The 18,444-nt window shown below is 36.5% G+C and overlaps 1 long non-coding RNA gene across 1 annotated transcript in view, besides 1 other annotated feature; it reads right to left on the bottom strand.

Moving 5' to 3' along the window:
• Nucleotides 4,320–5,519: an enhancer, noted in NCBI's record as "MED14-independent group 3 enhancer chr7:84217793-84218992 (GRCh37/hg19 assembly coordinates)". NCBI's record gives its function as "activates an origin of replication core promoter dependent on BRD2, BRD4, P300/CBP and CDK7 cofactors, and independent of MED14, by STARR-seq in HCT116 cells {active_cell/tissue: HCT116}" and the evidence as "EXISTENCE:reporter gene assay evidence [ECO:0000049][PMID:35650434]".
• LINC03017 (long intergenic non-protein coding RNA 3017) overlaps nt 9,678–18,444 on the bottom strand; it is a 51,843-nt gene continuing 43,076 nt past the window's right edge. The window contains exon 4 of the long non-coding RNA NR_110080.1: nt 9,678–9,845. This is a non-coding gene — a long non-coding RNA (long intergenic non-protein coding RNA 3017). The remainder of the gene's footprint in view (nt 9,846–18,444) is intronic.

The following is an 18,444-nucleotide window of genomic DNA, read 5'->3' as shown; positions in this document are numbered from 1 at the left end:
TTGGTGTACCCATCAACCCGTCATCTACATTAGGTTTTTCTCCTAATGCTATCCTTCCCCTAGCCCCCCCACCCCCGATACGCCCCAGTATGTGATGTTCCCCTCCCTGTGTCCATGTGTTCTCCTTGTTCAACTCCCACTTATGAGTGAGAACATGTGGTAATTGATTTTCTGTTCCTGTGTTAGTTTCCTGAGAATGATAGTTTCCAGCTTCACCCATGTCCCTGCAAAGGACATGAACTAATTCTTTATTATGGCTGCATGGTATTCTGTGGTGTATATGTGCCATATTTTCTTTATCCAGTCTATCATTGATGGGCATTTGGGTTGGTTCCAAGTCTTTGCTATTGTGAATAGTGCTGCAATAAACATACGTGTGCATGTGTTTTTATCATAGAATGATTTATAATCCTTTGGGTATATACCCAGTAATGGGATTGCTGGGTCAAATGGTATTTCTGATTCTAGATCCTTGAGGAATCACCACACTGTCTTCCATAATGGTTGAATTAATTTACACTCCCACCAACAGTGTAAAAGCATTCTTATTTCTCCACATCCTCTCCAGCATCTGTTGTTTCCTGACTTTTTAATAATAGCTATTCTAACTGGAGTGAGATGGTATTTCATTGTGGTTGTGATATGCATTTATTTTAATGACCAGTGATGATGAGCTTTTTTTTCATATGTTTACTGGCCACATAAATGTCTTCTTTTGAAAAGTGTCTGTTCATATCTTTGCCCACTTTTTGATGGAGTTGTTTGTTTTTCTTTTGTAAATTTGTTTAAGTTTCTTGTAGATTTTGGATATTAGCCCTTTTTCGATGGATAGATTGCAAAAATTGTCTCTCATTTTGTAGGTTGCCTGTTCACTCTGATGATAGTTTCTTTTGCTATGCAGAAACACTTTAGTTTAATTAGATCTATTTTTTAATTTTGGCTCTGCCCCAAATCAACAGGATGTACATTCTTCTCAGCACCACATAGCCACTTATTCTAAACTTGACCACATAATTGGAAGTAAAACACTCCTTAGCAAATGCAAAAGAATGGAAATCATAACAAACAGTCTCTCAGACCACAGTGCAATCAAATTAGAACTCAGGGTTAAGAAACTCACTGAAAACCATACAATTACATGGAAACTGAACAGCCTGCTCCTGAATGACTACTGGGTAAATAACGAAATTCAGGCAGAAATAAATAAGTTCTTTGAAACCAATGAAAACAAAGACACAATGTACCAGAATCACCGGAACACAGCTAAAGCACTGTTTAGAGGGAAATTTATAGCACTAAATGCCCACAGGAGAAAGCGGGAAAAATCTAAAATCGACACCCTAACATCTCAATTAAAAGAACTAGAGAAGCAAGAGCAAACACACCCAAAAGCTGTCACAAGACAAGAAATAACTAAAATCAGAGCAGAACTAAAGGAGATAGAGAAACGAGAAGCCCTTCAAAAAAATCAGTGAACCCAGGAACTGGTTTTTTGAGAAGATTAACAAAATAGATAGTACTTTTTAAAAGAATCTGGGTGCTCCAATTTTGGATGCATATATATTTAGTTGAATTTAACACTTTATCATTATTTAATGCCATTCTTTGTTCTTTTTTACTTTTGATTTAAAGTTTTCTTTTATCTAAGTATAGTCACCCCTACTTTTTGTTTATTTGTTTGTTTCCCATTTTCTTGGTAAAACTTTCTTCAATCCTTTACTTAGTGCCTATGAGTTTCATTATGTGTGAGATGGGTCACTTGAAGACAGCAGATTGATGTGTCTTTTAAAAATTTTTTTTAATTTAACTTGCCACTCTATGCCCTTTAAGTGGGGCATTTAGACCACTTTTATTCAAAGTTAATATTGTTATGAGAGGATTTGATTACGTCATGTAGTTGTTAGCTGTTCACTTTGTAATTTCCATTGTGTGGTTGCTTTATAGGGTCTGTGGGCTATGTGCTTAAGTTTGTTTTTGTGGTAGTGGGTATCATTATTTCATTTGCATGTTTAAAACTTCCTTAAGGATCTTGCATAAGGCTGATCCAATGGTAATACATTATCTTAGTAATTTGGAATTTATTTCTCCTTTGCTTACGAATCTCATTTTTGTTATATGAAATTACTGGTTGCAATTTCTTTGCTTCAAGAATGCTGAAAATAGGCCCATGATCTCTCCTGGCTTGTAATGTTTCTTGTGAGAAGTCTGCTGTTAGCCTGACAGGATTCCCTTTGTATATGATCCTAACTTTTTATCTAGCTGCCTTTAAGATTTTTTCTTTATTGTTGACCTTGGACAGTCTGGTGACTATATGCCTTTGTGATGTTTGTTTGTATAGTATCTTGCAGGTATTCTCTGGATTTATAGTCTCTGGATTTATAGTATCTGGATGTTTACCACCCTAACAAGATAGAGAAATTTTATTAAATTATTCCCTCAAATATTTTTTAATTTTCTTTTTCTTCTTCTCTCTCAAGAATGTCAATAATTTGTAGGTTTGATTGCTCTACATAATCTCATATTTGTTGAAGACTTTGTTCACTTTTTAAAATTATTTGTACTACATTTTTATATGGCTGAGTTAGTTCAAAAATCAGTCTTCAAGGTCTCAAATTATTTCTTCTGCATGGTCCAGTCTATTAACAAAGCTTTCAATTGTATTTTGAAGTTCCTTAAGTAAGCTTGCAATTTTAGAAGTTCTGAATAATTTCTTTTTAAGATGTTTATCTGTTCCTTCATTTAATGGATCGCTTTAGAAGTTTCTTTGTGTTGACCATGAAAAAATGCTTATCATCACTGGCCATCAGAGAAATGCAAATCAAAACCACCATGAGATACCATCTCACACCAGTTAGAATGGCGAGCATTAAAAAGTCAGGAAACAATAGGTGCTGGAAAGGATGTGGAGAAATAGGAACACTATTACACTGTTGGTGGGACTGTAAACGAGTTCAGCCATTGTGGAAGACAGTGTGGCGATTCCTCAGGGATCTAGATCTAGAAATACCATTTGACCCAGCCATCCCATTACTGGGTATATACCCAAAGGAGTATAAATCATGCTGCTATAAAGACACATGCACACGTATGTTTATTGTGGCACTATTCACAATAGCAAAGACTTGGAACCAACCCAAATGTCCATCAATGATAGACTGGATTAAGAAAATGTGGCACATATGCACCGTGGAATACTATGCAGCCATAAAAAATGATGAGTTCATGTCCTTTGTAGGGACATGGATGAAGCTGGAAACCATCATTCTCAGCAAACTACTGCAAGGCCAAAAAACCAAACACTGCATGTTCTCACTCATAGGTGGGAACTGAACAATGAGAACACATGGACAGGGGAAGGGGAACATCACACACCGGGGCCTGTCGTGGGGTAGGGGAAGGGGGAGGGATAGCATTAGGAGATATACCTAATGTAAGTGACGAGTTAATGGGTGCAGGACACCAACATGGCACAGGTATACATATGTAACAAACCTGCACATTGTGCACATGTAACCTAGAACTTAAAGTATAATAATAATAAAAAAAGAAGTTTCTTTGTGTTGACTTTCAACTTTGTTTTGTATCTCCTTGAACTTCCTTGCAAATCATGCTTTGAATTATTTCTCTGTCATTTCTGAATTTCTGTTTTGCTTAGGAACCATTGCTGGAGAGCTACTATGACCCTTTTGTGGTATCACACCATTCAGATTTTTCATGGTGCCAGAAGTTTTGCACTGGTTCCTCGTCAGCTGGAAATGCTGACACACTTCTAATTTATTAAATTGCTTTTTGTGCAGGTAGATTTTTTTTTCCTTTTTCTCCCTTTTCCTGTAATATTTTTTTTTCTTTCCCACTCCCTAGAGGGTGCAACTCTAGAGAATGCTAAGTAGGGTCTTTTGGTTTTGCTTCTATAGCACTATGCAATTCTTTTAGCAGATATTATATTGGGCTGGGAAGTTCAATGCATGAGCCAATAAAAAGCATGTACAGGTAATAGCTGGCTGCAGCTTATATGGTTGAGTGTACACTTGATCCCTGCTTACTGGAATAAGCTCTCTGTTGTCTCAGAGAATGGGCTTAATCATATAATGCACAGTGGTCTGAGCCGTCTGCTCAGCTCTGAGGGTGTGGGGGGCCATGATGGGTAGAGCCAGATCTGGCAGGTCCTCCTAAAGGTCTCCCATGGCAGGCACAAATACCTGTACAGAAGGAAAAGCCAGTGGGTGGCCACCAAGCACCCGGAAGTATGTCTATGCATGGAGCTGGGAAACCTCCTTGGGCTCAAGTTCTCTGCAAGAGGATGAGGATATATTAAATTTCTAATCCTGGAGAGTGGGCATTCCAGATGCCTGGAGATCTCCCTGGGCGTGGAGCAGAGAGGGACCTACTGCACCAAGATGTCTACACAGGACTGGTGGGGCAACTCAGGCTGTTGAACCAGGCCAGGAGGTTTTCTGAATGCCTGGAGATCTGCCTGGGTGTGGAGCAGATAGGGCCTTGCTGTACCACAATCAATGTTCAGGAGGAGTGGAGTGGCTTAGACTGCTGAACCAGATGAGTGGGTGCTCTGAATGTCTGGAAATCTGCCGGGGTATTAAGTAGAGAATGCCTTTCTGCATCAGGATTTCTGCATGAGAAAGTTGGGACAGGTCAGCTTGCTGAACCAGGTGAGTGGGTACTCTAAATGCTTGAAGACCTGCCTGGGTGTGGAGTGAAGAGGGTTCCCCTGCAGCAAGATCTCTGCACAGGAGTGGAGGTGACTTAGGTTGGTGAACCAGGCAGACAGGTGTTCTGAATGCATGGAGATCTGCCTGGGCATGTAGCAGAGAGCCCGCTCCCCCACCATGCCACACCACGCCCTGCACCAGGATCTCTTCACAGGAAGGGTAGGACAGCTTAGGCTGCTGATCCAGGTGAGCTTATGCTCTGAATACCTGGAGATCTGCCTGGGTGTGGAGTGTAGAGGGTCTCACTGCATCACGATTTATGTCCAGGAAGCGTGGGGTTCAGTTTTGCCTATTCTTAAACCTAGAAAAAATGAATAGTACATTGCAATGTCTTACTGCAATCTTAATGCTCAGGTCCCATCCATTAAGGCCCCCCTAGCCAAAATTCAGTATTACTGAAATTAATAACTTTGTCAAATTAGCAGCTGGTAAATATTTTTCTATTGTACATTTGATGAATATGTTCTGTTTGGTCCTTATTTCAACAGTCTCTCAGCTGTAGTCTGCCTTCACCTTTGAAGGTATTACAATATCCCCTAGCCTATGCATGGGATATCTCAACAGATTTGTCTTTGCATGCCATCTTTGCAAGTAAGATCTTAGTTGCATCCAACTTTCTCCAGGAACACAGGTATGACACTTTCTCTTGAGTAGATTTGTTTGACACACACTTATTGGAAATATGAGTACATCTTTTTGTCTAAATTAAAATCAACAGACATTCCTGTTAGTATCCTCAAAGGCTTCCTCACTGTGGAAGCTTTAATAGTGTTCTCTCATGCCTCATGGTGTCTCTGAACCAGCTATGATGGACATAAATTGCCCATGGGCTTCCAATGCAAGAAACTTTTCTTCTCAGACATCCACCATTAGAGTGGCAATTTCTGGCCACATACTGGAATCTGTTGGAAATTGAAGCTCTTGAAGGCCCTAAGCCTTTAGCCCTGCATACCATCCTGCCCATTATGACCTGGATCATGGAAGTAACATCCCACAAGTTCAGCATGGCTAGTGAGTAGTCCTTGGTACAGGATGTACCTGAACCTGAGCCCTCTAGCATATTCCTCTTGCAGGAGAGAATGGCCTTGTCTGTCTTCAGTTCCTTGCAAGATGTCATGTTGCTGGATGCCTAGCTCCTTGGCTACCTATAAATTAAGTGAGATTAACTGAGTGAATAGCTGTGGGATTGCATAGACTGAACATATGGCATTACAACAATTGTAAGTGGTGAAGCTCAGTAGAATGTTGCTGCTTTCCATAGTTAACCAAGAATTCCTTAATAATGGGCAGGACAATTGGCCAAACTTTAGAAAGTCATTTTAGCACTGAATGCCCTAGCCAACAAATGACCGCATCTGCACATTTTTACAAATTATTGGGCCATTTCCTGAGCTGTTCTCTTCAGGATAAAGAGTTCTGAGATATTTCGCCTCACAGAAATCCAAACTATAAATCAAGTCCTCGTGTATCTTCACATATACTAAGACAACAACATAAAGCCTCACCAGGACGTTTTTTATTCCCTTCAAAGTTCCAGACATTACTAATGCATACATCTCACATCTCAGAATACCCAATAATGGCTCTTAGAAAAGGCATTCAATGGAACTTTCATCTTCACTATAGGCCTCAGACCGAGGGTTTAATTGAGAGGCCTAATGGGCTCCTCAGAGAACTTATATTTAAGTTGTGAAATGACAAATAGACTTATAAATGGGTCCATATCATGCCCCAGACTTTCATCTATCTTAATTGAAGGCCCATTGGCCTACTTTACACCTTATACAACTTTTAAAATCCTACCTTTTGCCCATTCCTATATATAATGAGTGATATGTTTCACCTCCATATATATGAAGACTCTTTATGAGTTCCCTCAATAATGTCTGCTCTTTCGTTTATAAATTTTCAGTTGTAACTCTGGCTCATAAGGCCTGGAAGCCATATGGACAACACATACTCTCCTGAGACCCATTAACTATAGATTGTCTCACAGACCAGACACCTGCCTATGTAGTATAGGACCCAATTGAACTTGAATTGCCACCACACTAAATACTTTCCTCAATATTTGGGTTATAAGGGGTGGATAATTAATCTGGGTTCTCCTTCTCATCCCTCCATAAAATTAAAATTAGTGCTCCAGGGCCAATCCTACAGACAGTGTAGACTACACAGAAGGAAAACAAAAAACTCAACTTAGTAAATTAAAATTATCTTCAGACATAATAATGGAATTAACACCATATTTCATAATGAGAAAACCAGACCAACCCTCCTCGCTAATAACATACGACAGAGGAAAAGCGACATCAAGCAGCAAAACTCTGTCAAATCTAACTGCACACCATTCCGTAGGCTATTAGTCTGGTCACTCTCAGTTTGGGTACTTTCATTGACTTGTGATACACAGACTTAAACTTTCCAGGTCATTGTTTTAACCAAATATGGCAAATATTGAATTTGGCTAATGAAGCCCAAAGGCCTCACCAGCTTGTCCTTCACCAAACAAACCAACAACTGATGCGGAAGGAAGAAAAAGTGATTTAAAAAAAAAAAAAACTAACAAGAAAAAAGCATAAACATTTTTATTTAATATGCTTTATGTTACATGAAAGTGTTCAGAAAATAAAGGCTCAGAAAAATGAGGTAAACTCTGTACATATTATGATAAGTCTGAAGAAGAAGTAGATAGTTGTGGATGAAGTAGATAATTGGATGAAAAGGGGTATGAAGTAATGGTAATAAATTGGGGAGGAAATTCATCAAGGCCTGGTGTTCAGATTCTTCTCTGTGTCTTTGTGTCTTCAGGGTTAAGGACGTTTTTCCCCTCTCTGGGTAGAAGGAAGACCCCTCTGGAATGAGAGTATTATAATCTATTTTAAGGGAAAGACAAGCTGGGTTTTATGGCCTGCTTCAGGATAGCTAGGGGGATTCTTTCTAGTTTCTAGGGCCTGCTTCTGCTCTTTTGTCAAATGCCAAGGTGCCATATTTTACAATAACATTTTCCAAACCCTGTCTGATGCAAAGGATCCATAGTAATTGGTGAAATTGGAGGGCCTGCCTACAGGCTAATGTTGCAGCTCTACTCATAGCCACAGGTATTTTAATTGGCAAGCAACTTCACACCATATTAACCACATGAACCAAAATCAGGCCATATGATTTAAAACATATTTGTATCAAAACCCCCTCCTCATCTATCTGGGAAAAACATGGAGCGTTAGGGGCCTTTAGATTCAGTTACCAATAATTGGCACTTTAATTATGCCAGACAGGTTTGGCACTGTGCTCCAATTACTACCGTATCTGAGATGCCGGCACCATCTGTACCCAAAGGCCCCTTGACTTAAAAGATAATTTCAAGTCAAGCTCCCAGGTCAAAAATTTCCTTCAAGTTTCATAGGTAGTTCAGACTCGTTATACTATAGAACCACAAAAATGTGATCCACAAGGACTGAATGGTTATCAGTTTGAGAAAGATACCCCAGTTCCACAGCCTAGATAACATCTTCTCGGCCCAGGAGCTTGCTGCCAGAGAAGACTGCATCCTGTACACTGAGAACACTGCCTCAGCAATTCCCATGGACTGCCCCTCCTAAGATGCAGACAAATTAGAGACGGGGCATTTATTGCTTTTCTTCCTCTGCTATTTCAGATTCTATTGTATTCTCTGAGCTCACTGTTTCCTTAGCCCTTAATCCCTGCACTCTTCCAAAATATGCATTCCTACACTCTCAAGCCTAAAGGGAAATCTTGTAGCCATTACTACTATCTGTGCCATTCTAAAAGTTGATCAAGATTACTGCTTTCTCCAGGAACTAACTGCCTCATATCAGTCCACTCCTCGGCCCCATGAAGAGAGAATTTCCCACTCCACAGCTCCTTCTCTTAAACCCCACTCCAGCTTTCCACCATAACCCCCCATAGAACATCTCAGACCATGAGCACCACAACTGTCCCTTTCACCTTGATTACTCCTAACTTTGCAGATACCTTACTGAATATTAGTCCATGCCCTTTACACCATAACTACTGGACTTGTCGCCCTTAACTCAGGAATACACCAAGATATTATTGGCATACAAATTAATTCATACTTTTAACATACTTTATAACACCACAAAGATACTCTTAGACACCCCAGATATTTCAGGTTTGTTTTCCTAGGTAATACTCTATACATGAGAAACTTCCTTCAAGGGAAACCTATAAAGATTCCTTGTACTTCTATTTGTTTTCTTCCTTTTTACTGTCATAATAAAATATTTTCTACACAGAGTTTGGAGAAATGTATGGAGTACCTACTGGGAGATTCTGCTATTTAGACCATTCAGATACCCCAAATAATTTATGTCAAAACTGATGTCAAGACACAAAGAGGTCAACTGTAACATAGCCTGGTTTTTGTTTTAAATGCTGTCTTTACCCAGTTTTGAGGCCTTAAGTAGAAGCTGACAGTTTCTTTTCTTGAGCAGCTAAGTCCACACCTCCAACACTTCTTTTTTAAGAATTCTCAGACTCCATGACCATATAAACCTACCTTAATTTCCTAGGGCACAGGCACCAGCTAGCTGGGACAACACCTGTGCTCAGAGCCCATGAAGTTAGTCAAATTAATCAGTCCACAGAGAGATCCTGACATCTAGCTAGTGTCACCCCACTTGCCCCACATAAATTATCCTCTAAACTTCAGCTTGCTGCTACCCTGGCCCTAGGTACAACTCCTTGTCTGGCCTTGAGTGTCAGCCTTCTCTTGTTTGGAGCTATAAATAACAAGGAACTCTGCCTTTAATCTACCTGAATGCAATTGTGTTCTGTTCTGCCATCAAAAGAATCAAATCTTATAAAACAACTGTATACACCTCAAGTCTCCTAATATCTTAATACTATGCTATCCCATTAGGCCTTCTTTGTTTAAAGAGTGAAAATGAATTAATAAATGCTGAATTGGAAACACTGAAAAATTAATGCTTTTATTTCTCACACAGTTATTATTCTTGTCACAAAAATTATGCTTTCAGATTGCTTTGGTAAGAGCAGTTTACATATTTTTGCATGCTTACTGCAAAGATTATCAATGGTATCTGGATTTTCATAAGAATTAGGATGTGGTACCTGAAAAAGAAAATTATATTTCAGAAATCTTTCTCTAATAACCATTTATAGATTATACATTTTTCTATACTCTTTCTACTCTATCCACTATAGATTTAGCCTAGAAAAAAATTATTTAACTGAAATTACCACCCAATTAACAATATAACAAATTACAAAAGATTATAGGAGTCCATATATCAGAATTTAACTTACAGACATTAGTAAAGTACATAAAATTAGTATTGATTTTATTTCTAATTATTTGTTTGAAAATTACACAGCATAATGAACAAAATTACTATATCTCTATATGTAGTATATATGTATGTGAAATAGAATGAAATAGAATAAGCAAGAGAGAAAATATATAAGATGAAAAATACAAAGCTACAGAATTATGTCATCATTCATTTCGAATCTTAAACATTCTGGTAAATTAAACTTTTAAAAATGTTAAATTCAGCATTTAAAATGGGGTTTGCATCTATTTTTAGAGAGATGAGATAAAACAGTTCAAACTCAGGAAAAAAAAATCTGAGTTTATAGAGATACATCATTAAAACACTGCGAAGCCCTGAAAATTTTAGAGCTTTGGAGGGGCTCAATGTTCCGTGTAGTGGAGTTTTAATAGATACCCGTGAGGCATTCTGGCAGAGTGACAGTTCCATTGGAGTAGTGGGTAAATAGCTCTCCACTTGCAGTAACGTTAGTATTTGTAAACTCCTGTCTTTAAGAGTTAGACAGATGACTCTTTGTTTAAATTTGACAATAATAAACCAAAATTGAAATACAAAGATGTGGATTTTAACATGTACTCTGTTACTTACTGGAAACTTTAAAAAAATGTATTTGACCAATACAGAATGTGTTTAAAAGCAACATTGGAGAGTTTAGAGGGAAAGTTTAGTAGAAGAAAACAGAAAGAAAGCATCAACTATTGTGTTTATATCTTATCTTAAAGTTACATACAAAAACGATTTTTCTTATGTCAATACAATTTATCTTATTACGTCAGTATTTTATTAATCTTTTTCTTGGAAAATCTCTTCTACTTCATTAGTGGCATATGCCAGATATTTGCTAATAATACATAACTTTGAGTAAATGGATTTTATTTATATAGAAGTGATCCAATCCAGGAGTAAGCAAACTACGGCCAGGTACCGTATCTGGCTGGCACTTTGTTCTTGTAAATAAAGTTTTATTGAAGCACAGTCACAGCTATTCATTTACAAATTATCTATGGCTGCCTTCACACTACAACGACAGAGCTGAATACTTGAGTACTTGATGCAGAGATCATTTGATCTGTAAATCCTGAAATGTTTGCTCCCCAGTCCTTCTTCTTCAAGGTAAGTTGTTCATAAAGAGGGTAGTTCTTTGTAAATGATCAAATTAGTCTAAAAGTTATCTGTGCCATTGATGCATATTAACTTGCCTGAAAGATACTATTAAATAAGATTATAATGGCTGAATGCTTTCAATTAATATTATATATATATATATATATTTGGTTTTTTTTATATATATACTTTAAGTTTTAGGGTACATGTACACAACATACAGGTTTGTTACATTTGTATACATGTGCCTTGTTGGAGTGCTGCACCCATTAACTTGTCATTTACATTAGGTATATCTCCTAATGCTATCCCTCTCCCCTCCCCCCATCTCATGGCAGGCCCCAGTGTGTGATGTTCCCCTTCCTGTGTCCAAGTGTTCTCAATGTTCAATTCCCACCTATGAGTGAGAACATGTGGTGTTTGGTTTTTTGTCCTTGCAATAGTTTGCTGAGAATGATGGTTTCCAGCTTCATCCATGTCCCTACAAAGGACATGAACTCATCCTTTTTTATGGCTGCATAGTATTCCATGGTGTATATGTGCCACATTTTCTTAATCCAGTCTATCATTGATGGACATTTTGTGTTGGTTCCAAGTCTTTGCTATTGTGAATAGTGCCGCAGTAACCATACGTGTGCATGTGTCTTTATAGCAGCATGATTTATACTCCTTTGGATATATACCCAGTAATGGGATGGCTGGGTCAAATGGTATTTCTAGTTCTAGAACCTTGAGGAAATGGCACACTGTCTTCCACAATGGTTGAACTCGTTTACAGTCCCACCAACAGTGTAAAAGTGTTCCTATTTCTCCACATCCTTTCCAGCACCTGTTGTTTCCTGACTTTTTAATGATCGCCATTCTAACTGGTGTGAGATGGTATCTCACTGTGGTTTTGATTTGCATTTCTCTGATGGCCAGTGATGATGAGCATTTTTTCATGTGTCTGTTGGCTGCATAAATATCTTCTTTTGAGAAGTGTCTGTTCATATCTTTCACCCACTTTTTGATGGGGTTGTTTGTTTTTTCTTGTAAATTTGTTTGAGTTCTTTGCAGATTCTGGATATTAGCCCTTTGTCAGATGAGTAGATTGCAAAAATTTTCTCCCATTCTGTAGGTTGTCTGTTCACTCTGATGGTAGTTTCTTTCGCTGTGCAGAAGCTCTTTAGTTTAATTAGATCCCATTTGTCTTTCACTTGACAATTTTATCCCCCAAATTATCATTCCAACAAGCATTGAAAAATAAATTTATATATTTCTAGTTCACTTGAATTGCTTAAACTAAATAATCTGGAGATGAGTGTTTGAAGCACTCTGTATTAATAGCTTAATAATAAAATTGATGCCAAATATGGAATAGTCAGAACAGAGTTTCCATTTCAGGAATTTCTTTAAGATTATATCTGAGACTAGGAATTCAAATCACTCCTGGAAACTGAAGAAAGATACTAATATTCAGCTGGATCCAATCCTTTCTTGTTAATACAATGCAAAATAATCCCTTCTATAAATAACGACACCTTGAATACTTTTTCCATATAGATAAGTATTAGGAAATAATGAAGACTAAAACCTTAACCAATTATACTTTAAAAATTACTCCCAGGAAATAAAATAAAAGGAAATAACTAAATTTAAGAGCACATACTTGGAAAAACTACTGTGTGATATACTGTTATTTATATCTCTCTGAAATTTAAAGTTGCTTTAGAAAATATATTCCATCTTATTCCAGAGATTTTATATTGAAGTACCTCTCACAATTGCAAGAACTGTACAACAACTTGTATTTGCAAGAAACATGTTCAATAGTATTTCAAACCTCTTTGATTCAATGGCTGAACGCTGTTAAGTATATTACTAGATCCTTGTACTTATAATGGTTATTTTTAACATGACTGAATTTTGCTAAATCGACTTCTTTTTAAATGAATATTAATTATGATAAACAATTATTTTACTAAGTTTATGAGCCTATATATAAAATGGTCTCGTGAGCCAAGTCCAATTAGGTGCTCCCTGGTAAAATGCTTCTGTAAGATTCTGTATCATCCTTTAAGAAATCTGCAATTGCACAAGCATCTTCAAGGCTCAGGTAAATTTAGCCTCCTCACGTCCACCCTTTTTAAAAATGTTCAGCTAATTGCCCCTGGAAACTTTAGATCATTCTGGTCTCCCAGCATAACCTTGTAGATACAAATAAATTTCAGCTATATTGCTGAAATGATTATTGCTATTGAAATGATGAAAGCTGTAGTAATTGTAACTCTGCTTATGATTGCTAGATTTCCGTATTGAATTTTCTTCATTTCTTTTTCTGAAGACTACTGTACAGTTTTCCTTTTTCTTAAGTCTCCAAATTTCTCTTCTTTCCTCCATCGTATTTAAGCTTCTATTCTCGTCTTTCAATTCATTAAGACAACAAAAGGATGGATATATCATTATCTTCCCACCAACAATTCTATAAGCCAACTTTCTCCAGCACTGAAATATTTATCTTCCTTCTTGTTTCACTTTATATTGTTCCATATAGCTCATTCATTCATTTTTATTTCTCCAGAACACTCTAACTTATAACAGTAACACAATGTACTGTCCCATTTTCCTACCAATATACATTTATTTTTATTGTAATTACCTGTGTATGTTAATGAAGCTGACAAGAGTCTCTCTAAGATATATTCCCACATAAATTTGGGCACCTTCAACTTTACTTGATATTGACAAAGTGATCTGAAAGTGATTGGGTATAACTATGTTTCTACCAGCAGGGAATGTAATCCTTGTGAGACTTTATATTATGGTATTTTAATTTTTAACAAATTTCAAAATATAAAATGGTATTTTATGATTTTTGTAATTTGCATTTCCTTATTTACCAGTGGAGATTAAATGGTTTTATATCTATTTGTCTATAGCTCTTTTTTTCAGCATATTACAAATTGCAAAACTTTCTACCAACAAACTCCTATCAAGTCAAAAACATATTCCCTAACCTACGACGTAGACTATGCCCTGCAGCCCAGTATCAGTTGTTTACTTGATAGGATCAGGATCATGCCCTATGGTTGCTGTCTAAACCTATCATGTACCATCACACTGATTCTCCCAGCATGTTCTCTGATAGTGTAACCCTTCATGGGCTCCAGCATTGCTCTTCCAGTCTCCTGGACTACTTTGCACCTTTTTCTCTCTCTTCATATTGTCAACAACTTTCTCCAACCCTGGGTCTCGCTAATGCTCTTGCTTATTGTATCCCTGATGGGAAGGAAGAAAATCTACAAAACCACTTGTGTCTATATTTGTACATAAGATCTTCCTTCCTGAACTTATGGATGAAATGTCACTTCTTGTATTGAAGACTAATTCCTCCACAGCTTTGCTAGATACAATTCATTAAACTTCTCAGGGCTTTGTTCCCTAAAATATCCATCTTATTTCCCTATATAATCAGTTTTTCACTCTCTGCTGTATAATTCCCATCATAATACAATCCATGTTTTAAAAGCTTTGTCTCATTCTCTAGTTGCCACCCTATTATTCTACTTCTCTTTATAGCAACAGTCTTTGAAGCAATTATTACTTCTCCCTTTATATATTTCCTCAACTTAATTTTTTCTTTATTTCAACAACCACATTGAAACTTGTCCTATTGAAGTTACTAATAATCACCATCTTGCCAAGTTCTCAGTCCTTACCTTTTTGATTTCTTAGCAACTGTTAACTCAATTGCGTCTATCTTGAAATCCTTTCTTTATTTGGCCCTGTATTCCTACATCACTTTCTTTATCTTTGTAGCTGACTCATGCATTTTTCAACAGCTCTAAATTATCAAGCACCTCAAGGATATCATTGGCCCTTTCTTCTCTAATTTTTTCTCTCCCTACAGAATCTCATTTTGTCTGATGGCCTTGGTTAACATCTCTCCATTTTTTACTTCCAAATGTTTGTCTCCAGGCCGAACTTCTTTCTCGAACAGAAACCTCTGTATCCAATTGTCTAATTCATGCTTTCATTTGGCGCTATAATAGGCATGTTAAACTATGTCCAAAACATAACCGCCCTCCCCCAACATATCATCCCAATCTTCTTTTCCTCCCCATCTCACTGAATAGAATCACTATTCACACAACGTGTTAGGGCCAAAGGCCTGGAAGTCATTCTCAATTGTTTTTTCTCCTTATATCTTATACCCAAATCATAATTGTTTAAACTCTTAATTTTGCAAAGTCTAAAGGTAGGTACTTTTCTCTATCTTCAAAATCGAGAACAGTGATTGGCATGCCACAGGTGCTATCAAATAGCTGTTGAATGATTAATGAATGCAGCAGCAAAATTTATTTTTGTGTAAAATATGTAAATCTTTTCTTAAACCGTAGATGAGAAGCTTTCAGAAAAAAATGCAATTTAGCATTGCTTTCATATGCGTATGTAAAAATGCTTTAGAAATAGTCAATCAAGATTATAATTATTTATGTTTTAAATTGATATTCCATTGGCATTACTGTTATACTCTTTACTTTTGCAGGTGTGTTATTTTTGGCTTTCCTTCCTGGGTGGATTTCCTGATATTTTATGCTATTTCCACATCTTTCAATCTAAATGTATAATTTTTTAAAATTAATCATTCATGGAGAAAAGATAGTCTCTAGTGACATTTAAGGGTATCAAGCAAAAGAAAAAGACACATACAATTATCCAAGATAGATTTATAGTGCTTCTGACAGCACAAGTTAAACAAATAGTTAACAAATCCAAAACAGAGCAATTCAAATCCTTCATTAGAAGTATTCATTTCTATGTATGTCTGCTGAAGAAACATTATAATAATAGTTAATTATTTTGATTTGGACTATGAACTATTCTCAGTCATAGTAAGGAGTGAAAGAACACTATGTTTCCTTATATGGAAAAAAATACATACTTTGATAGATCACAATATCTTTCAAATACTGACTCTTGATCCTTTTACCTATAACATGCCTAGGTAGTGCAGTTGATATTTGTTGTTTTTATCTTCCTGGCGTCCTTTTCTTTGCATCTTTTTCCTTAAGGAGGACAGCTCTTTCTTTCACTTGGTAGAGTCTATAATCACCTGGCTTCACTTCCTGAATTTTATGGTGCATATGAAAGAAAAAGCTTCAGTGACTTTATCTTCCGAAGATTGATATAAATCTTGGGAAGGGGATGCTACGCACTTTTCTCTGGCATTGCTAGTTGTTAAGCACAATCCAAACTATATCTGCTGATGGCCAGGAGACAAACCTCTTGAGCATTGAAACCATTAGATAGTAAAATTGAGCAGAGACAGAGCATAAAAAGAGACAGGTTATCTGATATTTGATTATTTTATTGAGTTCCTGGATCCAGCTACACCTAAATGACCCTGAATTTTTATGTTTCTGAGCCAACATATTCTACTATTTATTGAGTTTTTGTGACTTGTAACCAAAAGGTGTTCTTGTAAATACAACCAATGATAGAGCTTTTAAGTAAATATTTACATAATTGTTTTTACTAATTTATAATTAAAATTTGTCAATATGCTTTTCAGAGTACTCAAGTACTACTATAAGGAAAATATTAGCAGTTACAGCATTTGAATTTTACTTGGAATGACCAAATAACAATTCGTGTCAAAGCATTAACTAAAAGTGCCTGACTTAAATAGAATCTGACATTGTTGATTTATTGTCTAGGAACTGCAGGATTATATAATTGATTGAATTATTGAATACATGTGATTTGCCTTATCCTTCTATTTTATTTGTGAGTCCCTTTCCCCAAGTTAAATTTCTTTTTTGCTCTTTATATTCTCTCTATTATTTCATCTACTTTTATGATTTCACCCCAACTCGTATGCTGATGATTTCTAAAATTTACCTTGATTTTCAGATTTCTGTATTCAACTGCCACTGGATATCTTTTATTAGAATAAAAGCATAATATTATCCCATTATTTCTTAGTCTCATGTGAAATCATAATTATCATCATTGAGTAAATACCAAGAGAGAGGAAATACAAGGAAGTAATAGCTTCAAATCCTATTAGTATATAAAATGATGTACACTAGGGGTTAGGAACCCCTACTATGTGCTTTTCTAATAACCTAAATAGCCACTCAGAGGAGATGGGGCGTATAAATTAACTCTTCTCCCCTTGGTCCCTTATTGATCTAGTTATGCCAGGTAATTAAATTCAGCATTAATAGAATAGGCCTTGGGTGGTATGCTTAACTGATTTCCCATCTCCTCCTCTCTATGTTGTCCTAGTCGTGTAGGGCCCATCTAAATTAGTAGCTCTACATTCAAATTTTGGGAGTCATGATTGATTTGTCCAGTTCCTTAAGTCTTGCTAGCTAATCAAAAAATTTCCCACCTGGATATTTCTCCACTCGTTTCTTTTGTTCATTCCTAATTCTGTTATGCTACTTATATTTTGCCTGAAAACTGCAGCAACACACCATTGATCAAATAACACTTAATCACTGATGGCTTCACTGAACGTTCTCTGGGGTGAATTAGAAACCCCTGTTCTGTGGTTTTCTAGTAACATGTAATAATTGGTATCATTCCATCAAGTACATATTAATGTCATTTTATTTTAGTTGTATGTCTATTTTTCTAGGACAGGAGCAATTTGGTTTATTATTATTTTTCAACATGGAAGAGGTGGAGGGATATTGAGTCCCTTCAAAATATGACAAAGAACATTAATCCTGTTTCATTTCTTTTTTTTATTTAAATGTACCATTGCTAATTACCTAAAAAAGGAAAATCTAGGAAACTAAGTTATCAGTTGATTTTTTGTGCATTTCAGCATTGTTTCTAGGGTTAATAATTTGCTTCACAATCTTCAGCCTTTTATAAATGATAGCAACATCATATTATTCCTCTCATTCTGTGCCTTTGTAACATGTTCAAAGTAATGTTTACTCCTGGATGATGAGATCTGTAATAAACCTAAGCGCAATTCTTTTAGAGCCTTATCTGTCTTCAAATTTCAGAACCTGGGTGCAAGTTGAGACATTTCCTTTGGAACATTTTTCTCCAAGAATCTTGTTGTCACAATTTTGCTCTGCTCCAATATAACATCTCCAGAAAGGCATTCTCAGACTGTAACTGCAAAATAGTTGCCACTTTCTGTAAACCACTCTGTGCCCTGCCCTTCCACCTTCTGTAATTGCCTGCCATTTTACCTTCTGTAAATCATTCTGTGTCTCCTTATGTTATTTTATTTTCCTCACCATACTAATAATTAACGGACAGCACTT

This window comes from Homo sapiens, chromosome 7, assembly GCF_000001405.40.
Source record: "Homo sapiens chromosome 7, GRCh38.p14 Primary Assembly".
Lineage (NCBI taxonomy): Eukaryota > Metazoa > Chordata > Mammalia > Primates > Hominidae > Homo > Homo sapiens.
Note: the sequence above shows the minus strand (reverse complement) of the source record. Positions and strands in the feature narration are given on the sequence as shown.